The 21,470-nt window shown below is 39.4% G+C and overlaps 1 protein-coding gene and 1 long non-coding RNA gene across 11 annotated transcripts in view, besides 1 other annotated feature; both read right to left on the minus strand.

The window, feature by feature from the left end:
* The window catches only part of SPOP (speckle type BTB/POZ protein), a 79,280-nt gene that overhangs the window by 13,498 nt on the left and 44,312 nt on the right, over positions 1-21,470 (minus strand). For 9 of the 10 annotated variants that reach the window (NM_001007229.1, NM_001007227.1, NM_001007230.1 and 6 more), the window contains 4 exons: positions 10,352-10,495; positions 9,565-9,686; positions 6,853-7,004; positions 6,600-6,727 (listed from right to left, as the gene is read on the minus strand). In NM_001007229.1, the coding sequence (NP_001007230.1) occupies positions 6,600-6,727; positions 6,853-7,004; positions 9,565-9,686; positions 10,352-10,429 (480 nt within the window). In that variant the 5' untranslated portion in view covers positions 10,430-10,495. Of the gene's footprint in view, positions 1-6,599; positions 6,728-6,852; positions 7,005-9,564; positions 9,687-10,351; positions 10,496-17,064; positions 17,119-21,470 lie in introns of those variants that run through there. The other variant, XM_024450995.2, reaches the window with a different exon arrangement.
* Positions 871-6,593, minus strand: LOC107984999 (uncharacterized). Its single transcript, XR_001752929.1, has 2 exons — positions 6,123-6,593; positions 871-1,224 (listed from the first exon to the last, which is right to left on the minus strand). It is a non-coding gene; the product is annotated as an uncharacterized LOC107984999 (long non-coding RNA).
* Positions 5,422-5,936: an enhancer, noted in NCBI's record as "NANOG hESC enhancer chr17:47695165-47695679 (GRCh37/hg19 assembly coordinates)". NCBI's record gives its function as "activates a minimal SCP1, AML or CMV promoter by ChIP-STARR-seq in naive H9 embryonic stem cells {active_cell/tissue: H9 hESC(naive)}" and the evidence as "EXISTENCE:reporter gene assay evidence [ECO:0000049][PMID:30033119]".

Genomic DNA, 21,470 nt, shown 5'->3' on the forward strand with positions numbered 1-21,470 from the left:
CCCACACTTTTATACCTTTAGTCAGTTGTGATAATGACATACAAGATGCTTGGCTGTAGCTACACATGCACTTATAGCTTTGGAAGATAATGATGACAATAGGTTTATAAAGGAATCCCAACTTCCCACTATGGCTTCAGCAGAAGCATGTTTTAACCAGTTCAGCCTAGGTAAAAAACCAAGTTAACTTCTAGGTGAGTCAGTGAAACTCAGATAAATCTGTTAGGGTACCAAATACAAGGATTTATAAATCATACAACATCATAAAATAAATGTCAGTTGCCCAACTGTAGATAGGACACTGCAGATCAGTCATCTGCCTAACAATTGTTGTTATGCTTCATCTCCTACATCACATTCTGTTAGAAAAGTTAAATTCAAAGCAGAACTCACAAACCTTGAGAATTAGCTCCCCACTCTTGCTGTTCCTAACAGTAAGATGAGAAAGACAGCTTAGGAACATCCTTAATGACCCAGATTTCTTTTAACCTTCAAGATGCAAGTCATCCCTTAAACGCAGTCATAAGCCCAGAGGCAAAGTTAATGACCTGTAGTTCCTTCTGTGCAGGAGTGAGATATTTACTATCAGGTCAAGAAATTTATTCATTTGTTTAAAACTAGCTGTTATGGTCTTGGGCAATGAAACAGCCAAGTTAATCAATTATGAATATACTTGGCATTAGTATCACATTTATCAGAGCCAGATTATAACATTATTTTAATAGCCTAGGACACAGTACAAACCATCCCATAGAGATTCTCTCTTGTCCTTTATAAGACCTCTAATTTGCTTCTGCCACTTTCTCATATTAATACCCTCACTTCTTTGACATAACATTAACACTGAAAGTAGAAGTTGCCTGTTCTCAGTTATAGCTCTAAAATACTAATTTAAAAAAAAAAAAAAAAAAGGAAAAGACCAATTAAATCCAACTTTCTCACAGGGAAAGGCAGGAATCTCCTGGGATGGCCAATGAAGGGAATGGAGAATGCTTTTGGCACTGGGTTCCTAGCTTGAATTAAACCAGGTTGACAGGAGCCCAAAGTCATTAACACTTGATGGCAATTTAGTAGACTGGGTGAAATGAATTGGCAAGAAGAGCTAAACTGAATTTCACATAATCAAACCATAGTTACCAGTGGGCCTTCTGCTGGTTAGATGCACATGTGGTAATGAGTGGGGCCCAAAGGCTGTGACATCTCTCACTGGGGCAATTCCTCTCTCTGGACACAGACAGGAACACAGCAGAAAAGAGAATGTACCTTTATTGTCTGAGCCAGGCTTGTTCTGTAGATATATAGATGCCTGGAGTCTCCAGAGCTCTGAATGTCTGGCACCTCTCACCAACATTAAATACGCTTAATTAAAAATAAATTCTAAATGGCATTCACAAATGAGTCTTCAGAGCCCAAACTTTTAACTTAGAAAGGGATTGTTTTCCTCTGCAAATGATGATGCTAAAATGAGACCATTCTGAGAAAAACTAAAGATTTTTTTTAATGCCTATAAAGTTGACTGGGGAGACTCATTCAGAACTGCAGCTGTGAAGATGACGTGACTGTGACATTTATGTCATCTTATAAATGACTGCATGAAAATGTCTCAGGAAGGCTGTATAATCTCCTTAACTTCAAGTTGTAAAAGGGTCTCACTTTTAAAGTCAATCCTTTTCTTAAAAAAACAAATTTCATAAAAAACTAAAGATTGTGCCAATTCTTGTACATTTCATCTATACATAAAGTAAAACCCAGGGAAATACATTTTTTAACTTCTATATAATTAAAACAATCTAGGAAAAACAGACACTGCCTACAAATTATTTACAACAGGAGCACTATTTCTACTAGCAAAAGATTAGCAACAACCTAAATGTCCATCAACAAAAGAATGAATAAATTATACATTCACACAAGACTATTATATACAGCACTAAATATGGATGAAGTATAGTTATATAAATTTTAGAAACATAATGTGAAAAAGCAAATCTTAGATGACTACATACAGTCTGACACCATTTTTATAAAGCTCCAAAACAAGTAACCTAAACAATATATTATTCAGACATACAAATAATAAACAAGTGCATGATAACATAAAATTCAAAATAGCTATTTATCATCCTCTGAGTGGGGAAACAAATCTTAGGGATTGGGGAGAAGCATTACAGGTTAGTTCCAAGTTATTGGTCATATTTTTAGGTTGAGTGGTGGGTTTAGTATATTCTCATGCTTTATAACCTACAATGATGTTACCTATTGAATCACCATTTGTGTAGGTCAAGAACAAGCAAATATTGGTATTTTCATCCAGTACAAATAATATATTCAAATAATCCAATAATTAAAGGATAAAAAGGTAAAAATGAATAGATTCATTTATTTAAAATTTAGCAAAAATACCTATTCCCATGCTATGAAGTGTGTGTGTGTGTGTGTGTGTGTGTGTGTGTGTGTGTGTGTATAAAACTATTAGTTTAAAAAATTTAGAGACAGGGTCTCCCTCTGTTGCCCAGGCTGGAGTGCAGTGGTAGCGGTGTGATCACAGCTCACTGTAGCCTCCAACTCCTGGGCTTAAGCAATCCTCCTGCTTCACCCTCCCAAGTAGCTAGGACTACAGGCACGTGCCATCATACCTGGCTAATTTTTAATTTTTTTGTAGAGACAGGGTCTCACTATGTTGCCCAGGCTGGTCTCGAACTTCTGGGCTTGAATGATCCTCCTACCTTGGCCTCCGAAAGTGCTGGGATTACAGGTTATAGTGAGCTATGATTAAGCAACTGCACTCCAGCCTGGGCAAGATCAAGATCCCATCTCTTAAAAAATTAAAATAAAGTTAATTAGTGTCTGGATATTTCACATTTATGTTATTTCATATTTCATCTTTAGTTACAACATGACAAAGAGGTTCTGGGATTATCTACCTGTCAAAGGCATATATGGTAAAGTTGGAATACAATGCTTCTTTATTGCTAATGGCTATTTGTTTTCAATATAAATAATTGGAGAAAAGGGTCAATAGAAGCTGAACTATTTCATGAAGATTTTCTGTGGACCAAATTATTAAAGAGAAAATTTAAAATGGAATTTAAACATGCCTTCATGTCTCTATTTATTTATTTATTTATTTATTTTTTAACAGACAGGGACTAATTATGTTGTCCAGGTAGGAGTGCAATGGCTACTCACAAGCACGATCATAGCACACCACAACCTCGATCTCCTGGGCTCAAGTGATCCTCTTGCATCAGCCTCAGGAGTAGCTGGGAACCACAGGGGTGGGCCACCACTCCTGACTCTTATGTCTCTCTCTTTCATTACCAAAGTAAATGCTCTGTCAAGAAAACTTGGGACCCGAGTTTGTGCTTCCTTGGGTGAATGGCATTCAGCTCCACTTAGTGTAGTGCAGCGGACTAGAGATAGAAAATAGGGAGCTGACATGACCCTCGCACTAGTTTGCTGCACAATGTTAGGAAAAATTTCCTGACTCCCTGGGCACTGCTTCTCTCCCCTTGTAACATGAAATGAAGAAAACAGAACTAAACCTAGCTCAAAGGATTGTAATAAGGGACAATTCAGGAAATGCTTTGGAAATGCTTCCAAATAAGTTAACTAAGCAATAACAACTTGGAAGAACTGCCACATTTCCTAATAGGTAAAACATCACTGAGAACTGAAAGTGATCTCAGTGTCTACAGTCATATCACCCTGAACACGCCTGATTTTGTCTGAAAGTGAACTCAATGTAGGGCACATTATAAACAAGACCACCCATTCATCATTTTCAGAGTCCACAATCTAATTTCATTTAAACATTCAACAACAGGAATACCACTGAAATAAAGGCCAAACATAAAAGGGTGCTTCTCGGTCTTCCACCATAGGAGTCCCTCTTGTGGCCTCTGGGAGCACCAGAATCCCTATGAAACAACTGTATTTATTGTATCAGGATGAGAATGAGAAGTGCCTCAGTCAAAGGCTGAGTGACGAATGGGGCACTGGGGTACTAGAACCTAGATTTCTATCTGGACATCAACTTCATAAAAGCCTCTAAACAATATGAAAATACTAATCAAACCAATAACAAACAAAATGTAAATATGAATTAAAACAAATGTGTTTATAAATATTCCACTGATAGAAGGGAAACAACAGGTCAAAGGGATAAAATGTGCACCAAAAATGATCTAGCTATGAAAAGTGCTAAGAACTTAGATGAGCTGCAGACATCCTTAAAACCCACACATCCAATACACACCCCCACGCAACCGTCTTGCAACGCTGAATGCTACTAAGTCCACAGAGAGCCTTGGAACAGAAACAAGTCTCACTAGGCATAAGCCCAAGTATGAGAAGCAACACTCAGCACCTGTGGCCAACAGAGAAGTGTGAGAGGAACAGATGGCACACCTGGTTCGATGGTAAGAAACCGATGGCATCAGCAGAACCCAGCAGACGTTACCCTGTTCAACATCTCCTCGTTTCTAAAGTGTCATCTCACTTCCCATCTAAGTCAAGGCACATCTAAACTTAACCACAGGATTTCTCCTAAGAGAATTTCATATGGGGAAGTGAAGGGAGAGAGCGAGCGAGCTGGAACTTGGCCTCGGATTTAACCACAGGATAAGAGACTGCCAAGTGAGGGCAGGCCAACTGGCTTCCAAATCAAGACTGTGAAGACAGGGGTTGGAGCAGCTGGAATGGATTGGGAAGAGAGGGGGAAGCATATGAGAAAAGGCTGGACCCACTGTGGACTCAAAAAAGCTGCAGTAAAGGTTATGGTATTGCCTAACACTGCCAGATGCAGTATTTAGGGGAGATTTTCTTCAGAGAACAGTTTAAAGATTGGCTTTCATTTCCAATAGAAACTAGAATTTTCTACTATTTTTAAGTTTTTCTGAAATGCAAGTCTGTAAGATAGGTGAAGATTCAAACTGTGATCTGTTTACATAACATCTAACCTCATGTAAAACCAACTAAATTCTCATTTCTTCATTCAGGCAACTGAGTATAATCTGTGACGTTAGATTTACACAGAATTCACACTCCAAGTTTATCAGACATAAAAGAACTGCCACATTTTATGTATTTATTATAGATGCTATCACTCTAGTATTTCCTTCTTTTACTTGGTAATTAAAAAGGAGAGGGGATACCAAATTATGCAAACTATATTTTACATATTTAGTGTGGTATTATAAGAAACTGCCTCCAAAGTTTTCTAATCATTTGCAACTACTCTGTTGCAATACAGAAGGCTGGCTGGGCGTGGTGGCTCACATCTGTAATCCCAACACTTTGGCAGGCTGAGGCAGGCGGATCACTTGAGGTCAGGAGTTCGAGACCAGCCTGGCCAACATGGTAAAACCCCATCCCTACTAAAAATACAAGAATTAGCCAGGCCTGGTGGCATACACCTATAATCCCAGCTACTTGGGAGGCTAAGGCAGGAGAATCACTTGAATCTGGGAGGCAGAGGTTGCAGTGAGCCAAGGTTGCGCCACTGCACTCTAGCCTGGGTGACAGAGCAAGACTCCGTCTCAAAAAAAAAAAAAAAAAAAAGAAAGAAAGCAATACATAAGCCTGCTACCGACCGCTAGGCCTTTTCTGCAAAAGGGCAAGATTCCTAAGGGACTCCATTCCCTGCTACTCAGGTGGTGATATGCCTTTGAAACTGTCATTAACTCACAGTGTGAGCCTATTATTTGACCGAGCGAGTTGGCAATTGGGGAACAACTGTACCATCCCCCATGATGATACACTGTTTATTATTATCAAGCGGTGCTGCTCAGGAAGTGGTTCCTCAACCTATGTGCAGGGAACACTAATGCCCCAGTTGACTGGAGATTTTATTCATTTATTACACTGTGAGCTTGTCAGTATTTCTAAATGTATTCATAACAGCATGAAATGACTAATCAGTATATACTCATTAAAGAAACCACTTTCCAACTCATTCTTGGTTTGGGAATTTTATTTCAAGGCTTCTCCTGTAAACCTGGGAAAAGCTCTTAGGTCACTGGTGAGAGGACTTTCCTAACTGACTACAGATAACTCTGTGAGCTAACTGTGAGTTAGAGAGCTTTACATAGCCTTCACCCTAGAAAAAAAATGGTTCTCACCTTCTTATTTCACAATTACTCCAGCAAGACAAACCATAGGCCTCAACTCTTGATAAGAATCTAGTTCAAAGAGCAGAAAAGGTAAGTAATCTGCAAACACACATGGCCCTCACACTTAAGGAGCCAGAAAGTATAAACAACAGATACACATATTTAGCTTGATGTGACAGTCCTTTCAAATGCTATCTGAAAAAAATCCCACAGTGAAAACTCCTGACCCAAGCAACTTAAAACTGACACATACCAAGGTAGCATACATACAACCTTTGTTTTTAAGAACAGTAACAAGTGGAAAGCTGAGATGCCCAACAACCTTGAAATCATCAGGTAGCTCAATCAGTCACATAAATAACATTTGTGCAGCACTACTCCACTTGGGGCTTTTTCTTACTCTACATCCCTGATACAATATAATTAAGTCTACCAATACTCATCAGATCTGGGAACTGCTAGTCTCAGCAGAATACAAGGACTCACCTCGCAGAAGAGGGTAAGCTTGTCATCAGGGAGAAGCCCGTTGGCCTCATCCAAAAGAAAATCTCTACGGATGAATTTCTTGAATCCCCAGTCTTTGCCTTGCACAAACCTATATGCCCGTTGACTCTCTGGGGTGGGGAAAAAAAAAGTCATATTTAAGGTTACGCAAAAACCAGATCAAAGCCACAACTTGTCAGTGTATGAAACTTCTGGATGTGAAACTTAAGAGTTGAACAAAGAGGAGAACATTTACCCATAGCTTTGGTTTCTTCTCCCTTGGCATTCAGGATGGAGAATTTGAATTTTGCCCGAACTTCACTCTTTGGACAGCTGACCAGTAACAGGTAAAGTGACAGGTAATCTTTGCTTTCTTCATCTAACCCTTTGGGGTTTACTCGCAAACACCTGTCCAAAACAGATAGAAAAAAAAAATGTCAAAAGCATCCATTTTGATAGAACTGGAAATCAGACTCAAGAGAGGGAGATGTTTAAAAAACAAATGCAGGCCCCATAGAAGAATATAATTCAGTAGAATGACTAGTTGGGAACAACTTTTTTCTCTTTTTTTTTGAGACATGGTCTTACTCTATCGTCCAGGCTGGAGTGCAGTGGTATGATCATGGCTTACTGCAACCTCGATCTCCCTGGGCTCAGGTGATCCTCCCACCCCAGCCTCCCGAGTAGCGGGGACTACAGATGTGCACCACCATGGCCAGCTAATTTTTGTAGAGATGGGGTTTCGCCATATTGCCCAGGCTGGTCTTGAATGCTTGAGCTCAAGCGATCCGTCTGCCTCAGCCTCCCAGAGTGCTGGGATTACAGGAATAAGCAACCACACCTGGCTGGGAACCACTTTCGTAAAGCAAAATGGGTCACCTTTTAAAAAGTAAACAACAGGCTGGGTGCGGTGGCTCACCCCTGTAATCTCAGCACTTTGGGAGGCCAAAGCGGGCGCATCACTTGAGGTCAGGACTTCGAGGCCAGCCTGGCCAACGTGGTGAAACCCCGTCTCTACTAAAAATAAAAAATAAAGAAAAAAACTAGTTGGGCGTGGTGGCAGGCGCCTGTAATCCCAGCTACTCAGGAGGCTGAGGCAGGAGAATCGCTTGAACCTGGGAGGCAGAGGTTGCAGTGAGCTGAGATCACACCACTACGCTCCAGCCTGGGTAACAAGAACGAAACTCCATCTCAAAAAAGAAAAAGAAAAAAAAAAGAAATGTGTGGACCAGGCACGGTGGCTTATGCCTGTAATCCCAGCACTTTGGGAGGCCAAGGCAGGCAGATCACTTAAGTTCGAGAATGGCCTGACCAACATGGTGTAATCCTGTCTCTACTAAAAATACCAGGCGTGCTAGTGGGCACCTGTAATCCCTGCTTCTCTGGAGGCTGAGGCAGGAGAATCACTTTAACCCAGGAGGCAGAGGTTGCAGTGAGCCGAGATCGTGCCACTGCACTCCAGCCTGGGCGATAGAGTGAGACTCTGTCTCAAAAAAAAAAAAAAAAAAAGTGTGAATAATCTTTTATAGATAATAATATACATAATCTTTTATAGATATTTTACCAATCTGGCAACAATATTCTAAGACTAAAATAAAAGAGGCAATATGAAGGAAGCACAGACAAAAGTAAATTATCATTACGCAGCACAGAATTCCAGGCCAGACTTCTAAATAGTGTTAGAGATGCCAATCTGTTACGGAGAGATCAAAACAAAATTCAGACAGAATAGGTTCAACTAAGTTGTAAATGTCATTAGTCAAATGCATGGGTTTCAGGCACTGCTTCTACCACATGCAATACACAGGTCATATGTATCCTTAAGCCTTATCTGTATTATTGCACCTCTCTCAAACAGGTGGCCCAATCCAGTGTCTCTCTAGGGAGTGCATATGCTACATACATTACTATACACCTTGCTAATGATGAGGATTTAAATACAATGTCTAAGAATAAACATCTCTCTCAACACTTAGTAGTAAAATGCACAATATATAGCCAAAAAATACTAAATGAATGAAAAAATAACTTTTGGTGGGTTATCAGAGGTCAAAACTGGTGGTTCAGAGACTTGCGTTTTGGTCTTTGCAGTGGGTATATGGTTGTATCCTCAACTGCCTGCTCCTCAGGCAAGATGACACATAGTCTGAATGAGACTGATCCTCACTCCTGGATCATATTTTCCCTGCTCCAGGGATTGGTTCAGGGAATGCAAACGTAAAACAATTGGTGCATGTACGACATATTCCTGGCCACACAGTTCAGAGAAAGCTCAAAGACTTTTGCTAGCATGTAGTAGATTATACCCATTGGTACTGCCAGTTATCCCTTAAGCACAAGAGAAGCCAGACCTGAGATGTCCAAGAGCGTGGAGAACAGGGCCAGGGCAGAGATGGTGTTCTTACTCTAACTACTGGCTTGCTGGATCAAGCTACCTTCAAACCCATCCTATACCCTGTCAATACAGTTACATAAGCAAATAAATCCCCTTTCTTGTTTAAAAGCAGGCAATTTAAAAGTAAAGAGATTTTTATGTTAAAATCTAGATTTCTTGCTTTTCTTGAAAAATCAGAAAATCTGGCAAGGGTCAGCCCTTACTCATGCATAGCTATAGTTAGCTGGAGCTGAGTAGCCAGCACCTCTTTTAGAAGAACACTCACTAGTTTGCCAAGCAGTCACCAGTCATTCCATTTATGGATATCATTTATAACACTGGCTTTCTTTATTTATTTACATTACCCTATAGCTTGAGTTTGCTGATTTCTGATATACTCATTGAATTAGTTCAACAAACATTTAGTGAGTACCTATTATGTGCCAGGCACTGTGCTAGGCACTGGGAAATACAGTAAGAACAAAACAAAAGTCCTGGCCTTCATGGAAATTACATTCTTGTCAGTGTCCCATAAAACCAAACAAAACAGACAACTTCAGAAAAATTTTTACAGTTAGACGTATTCTTCCTCACCATTTCAGTTTATCATTTGCTCCTGATGAAAATGTAGAACTTTTAATGACTTCACCCATTTCCTCCCGGCAAAAGCTAAAGTTATTGATGGTCCACATGTAGGAGAATTTCACTACCTTGATCTGTTGATAGAAAAACAGGAAGCAATTAAATAGGAAGTGGACAACCTGAAAAAACAGGATGAAGGGCAGATTATCATTTCCCCTCCCTCCCTCTGCATGATCCTGATAGGAAGATAGCAGTTTTCAGGTTTTTCTCACCTTATGTTCCTCATCCACATTTTAAGAAATCTCACACTGACCAATAGCTTTTATAACTTTTTTCAGCTGCTGAGAACACTGGATGGAAAGTGAGAGAAACATACAGGAAAAACAGAAACAAAAAACCCACCACCACCATGGACAGGGCTGGGAAAGCATATGATAAAACCGTACTTAAAATGGGTCTCTGTTATTAAAATGTTGATGTCACTGCCTGGGGTTGCACATCTCAAACTTGTTTCCCCAACAGAGGAAACTCAGAACACACTTTCATCAAGGGCAATGTAAGCAGATCTAGTTTCAAAGATTCCCCCTTTCAACCTCCACTGAAAAACACTAGCCTAGGGAATTTAGATTCCACATGGAAAACTAAGGAACCTGAGGCTAACAAGTATCTTATCTATCTGCTCTTTGGCAGTTATGTTCCAGAGAAAGCAAGAAGCCCAATGTAGAAAAGCAATCCTACTCCTTTCGTCCACCAAATCCTCCCCAGATGCAAGATTCACAGGCTGAAAACTTCAACTTACCTGTGTGTAGCACCAACTCTCAGCTACGGGGCCACTCGACATTTCTGCCGGAGGTGGAGGACTTGGAACCCTTGACATCGCCAGTTTGAAGGTTAAACGAGATTTCCAAAGTCAGGGGGCAAAGATTTCTGTTCCCTCTTCACCCTGGTCAGATCCAAGAAGCAAGAAAACTTTATTAGATTATTAAGATACGATCCTAACTATTGTTTGACCTGATAGAGGCTGGAAATTTTGTCTCCACATTGTTTGAGTGGCTCCTTACCACTGAGGTCCTAAAATTTTTTTTTTTTTTCCTGATAGTTTCGCTCTTGTTGCCCAGACGGGAGTGCAGTGGTGCGATCTTGGCTCACCGCAACCTCCGCCTTTCCTGGGTTCAAGTGATTCTCCTGCCTAAGCCTCCCGAGTAGCTGGGATTACAGGCATGCCCCACCACACCTGACTAATTGTGTATTTTTAGCAGAGACGGGGTTTCTCCATGTTAGTCAGGCTGGTCTTGAACTCTCGACCTCAGGTGATCCACCCTCCTCGGCCTCCCAAAGTGCTGAGATTACAGGCGTGAGCCACCGCACCCAGCCGAGGTCCTAAATTTAAATGTTAACATCAGAGAAGACTATCTAATGTAAAGTAGTCACCTAGTCACAATTATATCACCCTATACCTCTGCACAATACTCAATAACTCTATTGCTGAATGAATTTATTCAAAGGGTATTTAAAGTATATCTATGAAAAGGCTGCCTGAAGAGGAGACAGCATCATTAACATCAGACATAACTTGCCATGGGCTCCTTCCTTTGGGGTAAAAATACTCTACTCCTAAAGCAAAATGACCTTGTTACCCTCTCTAAGTTTGCTTCATCTTCTCCTATGCTTCACTGCAAACTTAAGGAATCTTCTATTCCTCAACCCATTGCTGGCTGCTCTCTTGAAGGGGAATATTTTTACACCTTTCTTAGATGTATTCCTTTCTCTGCAGCATTCGTGATCTCTCCCTGCTTACATTCCTGTCATCACTCGATATTTCAGATTCTTCTCCTTGCTCTGTTTTGTGATCATTCCTCAGTCTCCTTTACTAGATTATCTTCGTCCACTGTTGCTCCCCATCATTTAATCCTCAATCATTTTCTCAATCTACATTCTCTGTGTCAATTTTTTGTTTTTTCACCAGTCAGACATATCTTTATGGCAATTTCATCCATCCCAACAATGTCAAATTTCTACCTTTATACAAGTTTTCCAAATCTCTACAACTCTCACCTCTCTCATAAGCCTCAGACCATTCTCCAATAACTGTTATATATCTCAATGGGGTGTCTCAGTAGCAAATCAAATCCAACTCAAAATTCTTCCCTCCAACAGCCTTTCTAAATACCAAAGCCATTAAAAAAACTGGTGAACTTGGGGATGAGGGAGTGGGACTGGGGAGATGTAGGTCAAGGGGTACAAAGTTGCAGATGGGTAGGATGAATTCATCTAGAGATCTACTGTACAACATGAGGGCTATACTTAATAATATCGTATTGTATAATGGAAGTTTGCCAGAAGAGATTTTAGGTGCTTTTACCACCTACGCGGGAACACACACACACGCGCGCGCGCGCACACACACACACACACACACACACACACACACGGTAACTGTCAGATAATGGATATGTTAATTGGTTTGATTATAGTAATCATTTCACTATGCATATGCAAATCAAAACATTATGCTGCATACCTCAAATATATACAATTTTTACTATTTTTTTTGAGACAGGGTCTCACTTTGTAACCCAGGCTGCAGCACAGTGGCGCAATCTTGGCTCACTACAACCTCTGCCTCCCAGGCTCAAGCAATCCTCCTACCTCAGCCTCCTGAGTAGCTAGGACTACAGGCGTGCACCACCATACCACCTTGCTAATTTTTTGTATTTTTTTGTGGAGACAGGGTTTTGCCATGTTGCCCAGGCTGGTCTTGAACTCCTGGACTCAAGCAGTATGCCCACCTTGGCCTCCCAAAGTGCTAGGATTACAGGGATGAGCCACCATGCCTGGCCACAATTTTTTTTAATTGGTGAATTTGGTTACAATTTTTAAGCACCATAAACAAAGCCAAAAGACAAACTAAAAAAAAAAAAAAAAGCTTGTAACACATGACAAAGGGACTTAATAAAAAATTGATATATAAATTATTTCTGTGAAATCAATTGGGTGTTATCTAGTACAGTGGAAAATACATGTACCCTAAAACTTAGTAACTCCACTTTTAACAATACATGTGCTAGAGCTGTGATTCTGAAGTGTAGAGTGCACCACAATCTCCTTTTAAACAGATTGCTGGCCCCACCCCCAGAGTTTCTGATTCAGAGATTTGGGATGGGCCCAAGTTTGCATTTCTAACAAGTTCCCAGATGATCCTTTGAGAACTGCTGTCCTAGAGAAACGCTAAACGTGGGCACAAGATACAGACAAGGGTTTTCAATGCGGCACCATTAATAACAGTGAAAACTAGAAACACACTGAAAATCTTTAGTAGGGGAATAGATAACTAATTTGTATTATTTCCATGTAATAGAAAACTATACTTCAGAATTTAAAATTAATGAACTAGGCTGGACACGGTGGCTCACGCCTGTAATCCCAGCACTTTGGGAGGCTGAGGTGGGAGGATTACCTGGGGTTGGGAGTTCGAGACCAGCCTGACCAACATGGAGAAACCCTGTCCCTACTAAAAACACAAAATTAGCTGGCTGTGGTGGCATGCACCTGTCATCCCAGCTACTCCGGAGGCTGAGGCAGGAGAATCGCTTGAACCTGGGAGGCGGAGGTTGTGGTGAGCCGAGATCGCACCATTGCACTCCAGCCTGGGCAACAAGAGCGAAGCTCCATCTCAAAAAATAAAATAAAATAAAAGAACTAGATCTACAGCACCATGGACATCAAACACAGAGCTAATAAAAAAAAGCAAGTTTAGGAATGACATGTACAGTACATTATTTATGCAAATTTAAGGTTTATATATTATTTACAGATATACGATACAGTAAAAGTAAAAAACAACAACAACAACAAAAAACAGCCTTGACAGCCTATATATCAGTTTCATACTGGGAGAGGGAAGGAAGGAGAAGGAGACTGGGAAAATAATGTAAGATGCTTCAAGTTTATCTCTTGTGATTCTTTTAAAATAAGGATACAAAGAAAATATGATAATACAAATATCTGTTAATTAGGGATGACAGGTACTTGGGTATAAACTACTTTTTGTAGTGTTCTGCTTTATTTTTATCGTTTTGATATTGGAGCAATTGTGTAAGGATATATTCCATTATATCACACATCTCTGGTTTATAATATACAAGGGAGAAATTTCCTGAACACCTAGTTTGTTTTCAAAGGCCAAACAATATGAATCTTATAACTGATCATGTTGCCCTCCTTGCTTGGCTACTAAGAAATCCTGAGACAAGTTTGTGACTCATCTTTTAAAACTATAAGCCCATATGCCTGCTTTAGATGCTATATTTTATACAGGATCATTCTATAATAGTTTTATTATAGTTCATTCTATAATAGTTTTATTTTCTTAATTATTCCCTTTGCTATAATTCTCTCAACTTTTAATCTTTTATATGTTAAGTATTTTTGGAATCTGCCTCAAATCCTCTGCAGAAAGAGGTATAACAAGTAACAACAGGCTGGGCATGGTGGCTTATGCCTGTAATCCCAGCACTTTGGGAAGCCAAGGCAGGCGGGTCACCTGAGGTCAGGAGTTCGAGATCAGCCTGGCCAACATGGCGAAACCCCATCTCTACTAAAAATACAAAAATTAGCCGGGTGTGATAATGCGTGCCTGTAATCCCAGCTACTTGGGAGGTTGAGACAGAGAGTAGCTTGAACCCAGGAGGTGGAGGTGGAGGTTGCAGTGAGCCAAGATGTCGCCATTGCACTCTAGCCTGGGAGACAGAGGAAAAAAAAAAAGTAACAACAAATCACACAATAACTCAACTCACAAATATTCACTGACTACTTAAATAATAAACACGGAGATTAATAAACTACAGTTGCACTTTCACAGAGTAATACTCATAAATGAAATGAGATGTTATTCCCATGGTCATAAACACTATCTTACAGGAATTTCCTTTTTTTTGAGACGGAATCTTTCTCTGTCGCCCAGGCTGGAGTGCAGTGGCGATCTTGGCTCACTGCAAGCTCCGCCTCCCGGGTTCATGCCATTCTCCTGCCTCAGCCTCCTGAGTTGCTGGGACTACAGGCACCCGCCACCATGCCCAGCTAATTTTTTGTGTTTTTAGTAGAGACAGGGTTTCACCATGTTAGCCAGGATGGTCTCGATCTCCTGACCTCGTGATTTGCCCACCTTGGCCTCCCAAAGTGCTGGGATTACAGGCATGAGCCACCACGCCCGGCCAGGAATTTACAATTAAAGAATCTGTGAAATCACAAATGAAGCTAACATGGTGTGCTGTCTCACTTAAGCTAGCAACCTAAGCACTGCAGTGGCATTTGGGCCTCCCTGGCTTGTGCAATTCATGATTCCATGATAACATGAAGAAAAGAAGCCAAATGCTACTGTGGTCACCTCCAAGATAGGCTTGCATTTGATGGAAAACACATTCTTAAAGAACTGTTTTATTTTTCCATTAACAAGTAAGTATAAATGAGCTAGTTTTACAAATCCCAATTATCATTAATGGCCAGAATGAAATTTCAAAATTCCTACTTTGGGACAGGGTGGCAATGAAGGTTTGATTTTATGCATTAGTTAAGAACAAAAAATTTGGCTCTGGAGAGGTGGATTATAGGCACAGCTCTACACTGAGTAATCCTAAAATACCAATTTGAACTTATTTTGAGGTTAAAAAAACTTCAAACTGATCTAACAATGAACAATTTATGAATTATCTAAGCCCAGGAAAAGGCCAAATTTTAATAACTGGTTTATTTTAATGCCTTAATTGTTGTTACTCATCCTTGGTTCATTATTATAACCAGAAAAAAGAAACTACTACTTTGATCTTGACCATTTTTTCCCACCTTTTTTTGCTTCTGACTTATTTTGTAGCTACATCTTTTCCCTTCTTCTAATTTTTAAAAATCTCTAACCTCACAGCCAGCAGAACTGGAGAATCTGTCTCAGACTCTGAGGAGCTCTTAACCAAACAACCTGCTGGAAAGGAAATTGACTAGGACAGCACAAGTCTAATTAATTTCACTCATAGCAGGAACCATGGGCAAAGTGTTCATCAGCAAAGTAGCCTAGTGCTACATGAACTCTCTAGCACTTCATGCCAACTGCTGCAGATGACCAGCAGAAAAAAATTTTAGAAAAGAGGAGACCTACCTGAGGGTTAGAGTTCGAGAACCTCTGCAGCAGACAGCTAAAGCCAAAATATATTGCTCTTGCCTTCAAACAAGTTAAGACAGTCTGTCTGCATTCTCTATTGAGAAATTTATTTTCCAAAGCTTACCAAACTTTCTAGTACGCTCAAACTCTGAGGCTGAACATATACCACCATTTATTTTCCTGCTTACTCTATTAAATTCTGACCTGTGAGAACAGACCTCTTCGAGTTACATAAAAAAATGCACTTTAAAATATCTCTGTCAACTGTAATACTGCTTAATTTCCAACGAAGGTAGTATCAGCTAGCAACTAATAAAAATCTCTAATGGAATGCTTCCTAGTGGGTATTATAAGACCATGAAGTCATTAACCAGTTTTGATGTGATTCAAGCCAACAATATAATTTCTAACTAGAATATTAAACTTTGGAGGACAGACAGAAGGACAAAAAAAAAAAATGAATTACAGGTTGAGTATCCCTGCTCTGAAAAGTTCCAAAATCCAAAAGTTTTTGAGCACTGACATGACATGCTCGTTGGAACACTTTGGATTTCAGATTAGGAATGTTGAAACAGTAAGTACGTAACAAAACTATTCCAAAAAATCTGGAAAAATCTGAAATCCAAAACACTCTGGTCCCAAGCATTTCCGATAAGTGGATATTCAACCTGTAATGCTGTCGTGATGCACAGATAATGCTTTCAACTGAACCTACGGTGCACTTCTTTCCTGCCTTCTTTTATACTTATGAACACTTCTGCTGACTCCTGTAGACTTCAAGCTCCTTAAACAGAACCTGCAACTATTCTATATATCCCTTATCACCTAGCACAGCCTGCCTGGAACTCAAGGAATTCAGTACAAATACTCTGATGAAGGCCAGGCGTGGTGGCTCACACCTGTAATCCCAGTACTTTGGGAGCCCGAGGTGGGCGGATCATGAGGTCAGGAATTCAAGACCAGCCTGACCAACATAGCGAAACCCCGTCTCTACTAAAAACACAAAAATTAGCCGTGCGTGGTGGCACGTGCCTATAATCCCAGCTACTCAAGAGGCTGAGGCAGGAGAATCGCTTGAACCTGGGAGGCAGAGGTTGCAGAGAGCCGAGTTGGTGCCACTGCACTCCAGCCTGCAACACAGCAAGACTCTATCTCAAAAAAAAAAATAAAAAATACTCTGATGACTGAAACACTCATCCAGTTGCATTCAAGTTCATTAAGTTTTCTGGTTTTTTTTCACATATCTCTAAAACAGCCCTTTGAACAATGCTGAGTATATCAGATTTGCAATGTAATGAGAATAATTAATTTGTTATTTCAGATAAATTATATTACAAAGCCCAAAACTCCCAGCCCGGTACCTCTAATCCCAGTCCTGGTAAAACTGAGTTTTTCATCCAGTATCAAGTATATATTTATTCTACAAGAGGAGAAAGCCTTGTTATAATTTCATTTTGAAAACAAAAATCAGTAACTTATCTGAACTAAACTCTTGCATAATCAGAATTCTTTCAAGATAGAAGACAAATTCCCTGTACAATAAAGGAAAATGTCCCAATAGTTTATTTTGCAGTATTTACAGAACTAGGCTAGAACACCCTCTGAAAAGTGTTACACAGACAGCTTGTGCAGTCACTTTTTAAATCTTTCACTTATTTCCCATGAGCATTTCTCCATCATCAGTCTAATCTACTTATCCAGAGAATTAAATCAACCAGTTAACAGAGAGAGAGGCATGAATCTCATACATGATATCTATGAATTAGCCTTACTTATATCCATCAGTTTTAAGATGACAGGAACAAGATTGTGAAGATATTAGATTGAATCATGAAACTGTTGTTTTATATGACAAAAATAGTTGAATATCAGCAATTTCATGTGGTTCAACATAATACACAGCATGTACAAGCTAGATGGCTGGGAACAGACCAGAGAATGGTCTGTTAGGGACTTTTTAAAAGCCTCTCTCTCTGCTTTCTTCTGGTTTAAAGCTTTGTACAGTTTCCAAGTAAAGAAAAGCCCCAGTGTCATAACTATTTTCAACCCGAGATGTTTGCGTTTTCCAAAACAGAAGATGCCAAAAAGATTGACGACAATTGCAAAAACAAACAAACAAAAAAACTGTAAGACTTTTGTATACTAATTTTTGAGAAACTAATGTGACCAAAAGGAGCCTTTTGTTTTTTCTGTTACAGTGTGCTCAATCATACACAGCCCAGGAGGTAATCTTTTCTTTCTCATTACCCCAAGGGTAGTTATTACAGGTCATACTGACTTCTACTGTTGCAAGGTTTAAATGACTTTTGAATATTTGTTATGAGTAAACTTTCTGCAGTTCAATCTAGTCCAACAAAATACTAAATATACTTAAAAAATTTTTAGAGACACTGCTTAAAATGAAACTCAGGGCTTCAGACAGACCTCAATCAGCAAAGGAAAGACTGAGGTTCTCTTATGTCTTTTATCGGGTTCATGCTTTGTAAAACTTTACAAATTAAAGATGCCTGTTTTTTTGTTTTCTTTAAATTTTTTTTAAAAAAAATTTGTATAGACAGAGTCTTGCTATGTTGCCTAGGCTGGTCTCAAGCTCTTGGCCCCAGGCAATCCTCCTGCCTTGGCTTCTCAAAGCACTGGGAATATAGGCATGAACCACTGTGCCCAGCCTGTTTTCATTTTTTAAATTCTTACACTGCACCTATAGGGGGATTACCGATACCAAGTGAATCTAGAGATCAAGAAAAAAGTCCACAGCCTTACAGAAAAATGGGCAAAGAACAACCAACGGTGTACAGAAATGGAAATACCCAATGGTTCTTAAATATATGAAAAGATGTTCAACTCTCATTCAAGATAAAAATGCAAATTAAATCACACATTGATTCACCCACTGAATTGGCAAAGATCAAAATGTTTGATAACACTTACCCAGGGTAAAGAAAACATTTCTGGTTGGTGTATAAATTGTTACAATCTCTGTGAAGGGCAATGTCTATCAAAGTAAAAAATGTGCATCCCCTTTAATCCAGCAATTTCACTTCTAGAAATGTATCCCTACTGATATGTTTTAAAGGACAAATATAAAAGGTTTTTCACTGTGGGGACTATTTATAAAACACGTGAAAATGGAAATAACCTAAAAGTTCATCAACAGTGGATTAAATAAACTATGATACAGATAATGTAATAATATGCATCTCTTAAAAAATAAGGAAGCTCCATTTTTTAATAGAAAATATACATTTGTTTTAACATATAGAATATCTCCCAAAAGACACAAGGCTCTAGGGATGCTGGTTACTCCCATGGGAGGAAACTGGGTACACCTGAGTGGGAAGAAGTCCCACTGTATTCCTCTTAATACTTTCTGAATTTTGAACCATGTAAATATATTACCTATTCAAATAGTAAATTAAAAAATTTAAAAAGGAATTAGCAGCCTTTACAATTAATTTTTCCAAGTTGTGAAGAGGCTTATACATCGAGACCCACATGAGAGACAAGAAAGGAATTCTTCAGTGGCCTCCATTGCTATCTGAGTAAAATCAACCTTTTCATCATGACCACCATGGCCTCAGCATACCTCCCTGACCTTCTCTAACAATCTTCTCAATCCTGATGTTTTAGTCACTCAGGGCTTTAACTCTAATCCACAAACACATTGGGCTCTTTCCTCAGCCTAGAAAGCTCTTTCTTCCCTCAGGTCTTTTTATAGGTGGGTCCTTCTTGTCATTTAGGTCTCCTAGCAAATGAAGTTATCTTCAGAGGAGTCTTCCCTGACCACCCAATCTGAAGCCACTTCCACTTCTAGCCTATTCCTCTCATCACATTACCCTATTTTATTTTCTTCTTTATTACCACTACCTGAAATTATCTTGTTTTTATTTTTTCACTTGTCTATTGTGTTCCCTACTAGAAGTTAAGCTCAACGAGAATAGTATCCCCCTGTGCCTAGAATGGCATAACAGGCACTCAGTAAATATTTGTTCAATGAAATTTTGGTTGAGCAATTAGACTCCTTCTCTTTTGGGATCATTTTTCCCTAATGAGTTCTAGTTAATAAATTAAAGTTTAGGAGTTGTTGAATGAATGTAGCTATAGGAATCCAGGCATACTTTTAAAACAATAAAACATTTTAAAAAGAAAACTATCAAGTCACTCCAACTTTAAGAATTTATTGAGTACATTACAAAACTATTTATACCCTTCCCTGATTAAAAATCTTTTCAAATCCAAGAAAACGGAAGAAAAGGGAAACGTACAGAGCTATGGGGGGAGTTCCTGAATCCACAAGACAATAGTGAGAAAAGTACATTTCCCAGAATAAGTCAATCCTGGTTATAGAAGTACCATTACAGCAGCTGTCAGGAACCCAAGCTAAACTCTTAAGTTATTTCAAGTTAAATTCTTCTTTTTTTTTTTTTCCAGACAGAGTTTCATTCTTGTTGCCCAGGCTGGAGTGCAATGGCATGGTCTCGGCTCACTGCAACCTCCACCTCCCGGGTTCAAGCAATTCTCCCGCCTTAGCCTCCCAAGTAGCTGGGATTACAGGCGCCCACCAACATGCCCAGGTAATTTTTGTATTTTTAGTAGAGACGGGGTTTCACTGTGTTGGTCAGGCTGGTCTCGAACTCCTCACCCACCTTGGCCTCCCAAATTACAGGCGTGAGCCACTACGCCTTGCCTCAAGTTAAATACTATATATTATAATAAAATTCCAATATATTAAGTGAGGGAAATCCTTAGCATCTACTTATATTTGATCTATTGTTTTTGTATCTGACACTGGGTTGGATTCTGGATGTATGGAGAAAAGATAACTAACATTTATTAAATACAGACCAGTGTAAATATGTACATATGTAAAAACATGACTAGGCATATAACTAAATTTTTTCTATACCAGGCTAAGATGTAGAACACATTTCTGGCATAGCCAAATATTTCTCTAATTAAGAGCTGAACTACTTTGTAACTGTTGTATATAAGGAAAACCTAGAAACAAGCATAGTATTATGTGTTCAAGTCAGTACTTTTAAGATTTTCCCAGTTTACAGGTATTTCTTAGGTAAGTATAGATTCTAAAATGATTGTGAGGATTAGATATGCACTTGTACATAAAAAGCCTATTTCTCCTTCCTCTCCTCAATCTGTGTTATAATTTTATAGAAATGCCTAGCTAGTAAGGCTCATCTAGATAGATCAAGGCAAGCTGAAGATGAACAAGAAGGTACATGACTCTCAAGTCACTAAACCCAATAGGATAACAACAGAATGCTCCGACTATCAAGCCTCGGTGTGTGCTGGCAGTTTACAGGCTTACTGCTCTTCTTTCAGGCTATAAATAACTACAAACTGTCCTTGTCCCCAAGGAGACCTTAGCAGCCAGCTCAAAGGTTAAAATATGGAATAATTCTCACTTTGGATGCAACTTTTCCAGTCAGCAAAAAAAATCAAAAAAGCAGAAAATGTAATGCCAAGTTAAGTTAGGGCAGGGGGATCATTCCCTTGCCCTAGAAACTATCCACTATGTAACAGTTATTGATATAAACATGTTAGCAAAATTATTTACCCCAAAAATATGTCCAGGAAGAATGCAATGTATCTCTGCTCCAAATGCCGAAGTTTGTCCTAGAAAGGGGCAGATGCCACTCAAACACCTTGTAGGACTGCAACTCCCTGGACCTTAAAAAGACTTCTTGAATTTTTGTTTTACTTTTAATTTAGGCACAAAGGATTACTGAGCTAAACACATCCACATAACAAC

Source organism: Homo sapiens, chromosome 17 (genome assembly GCF_000001405.40).
Source record: "Homo sapiens chromosome 17, GRCh38.p14 Primary Assembly".
NCBI lineage: Eukaryota > Metazoa > Chordata > Mammalia > Primates > Hominidae > Homo > Homo sapiens.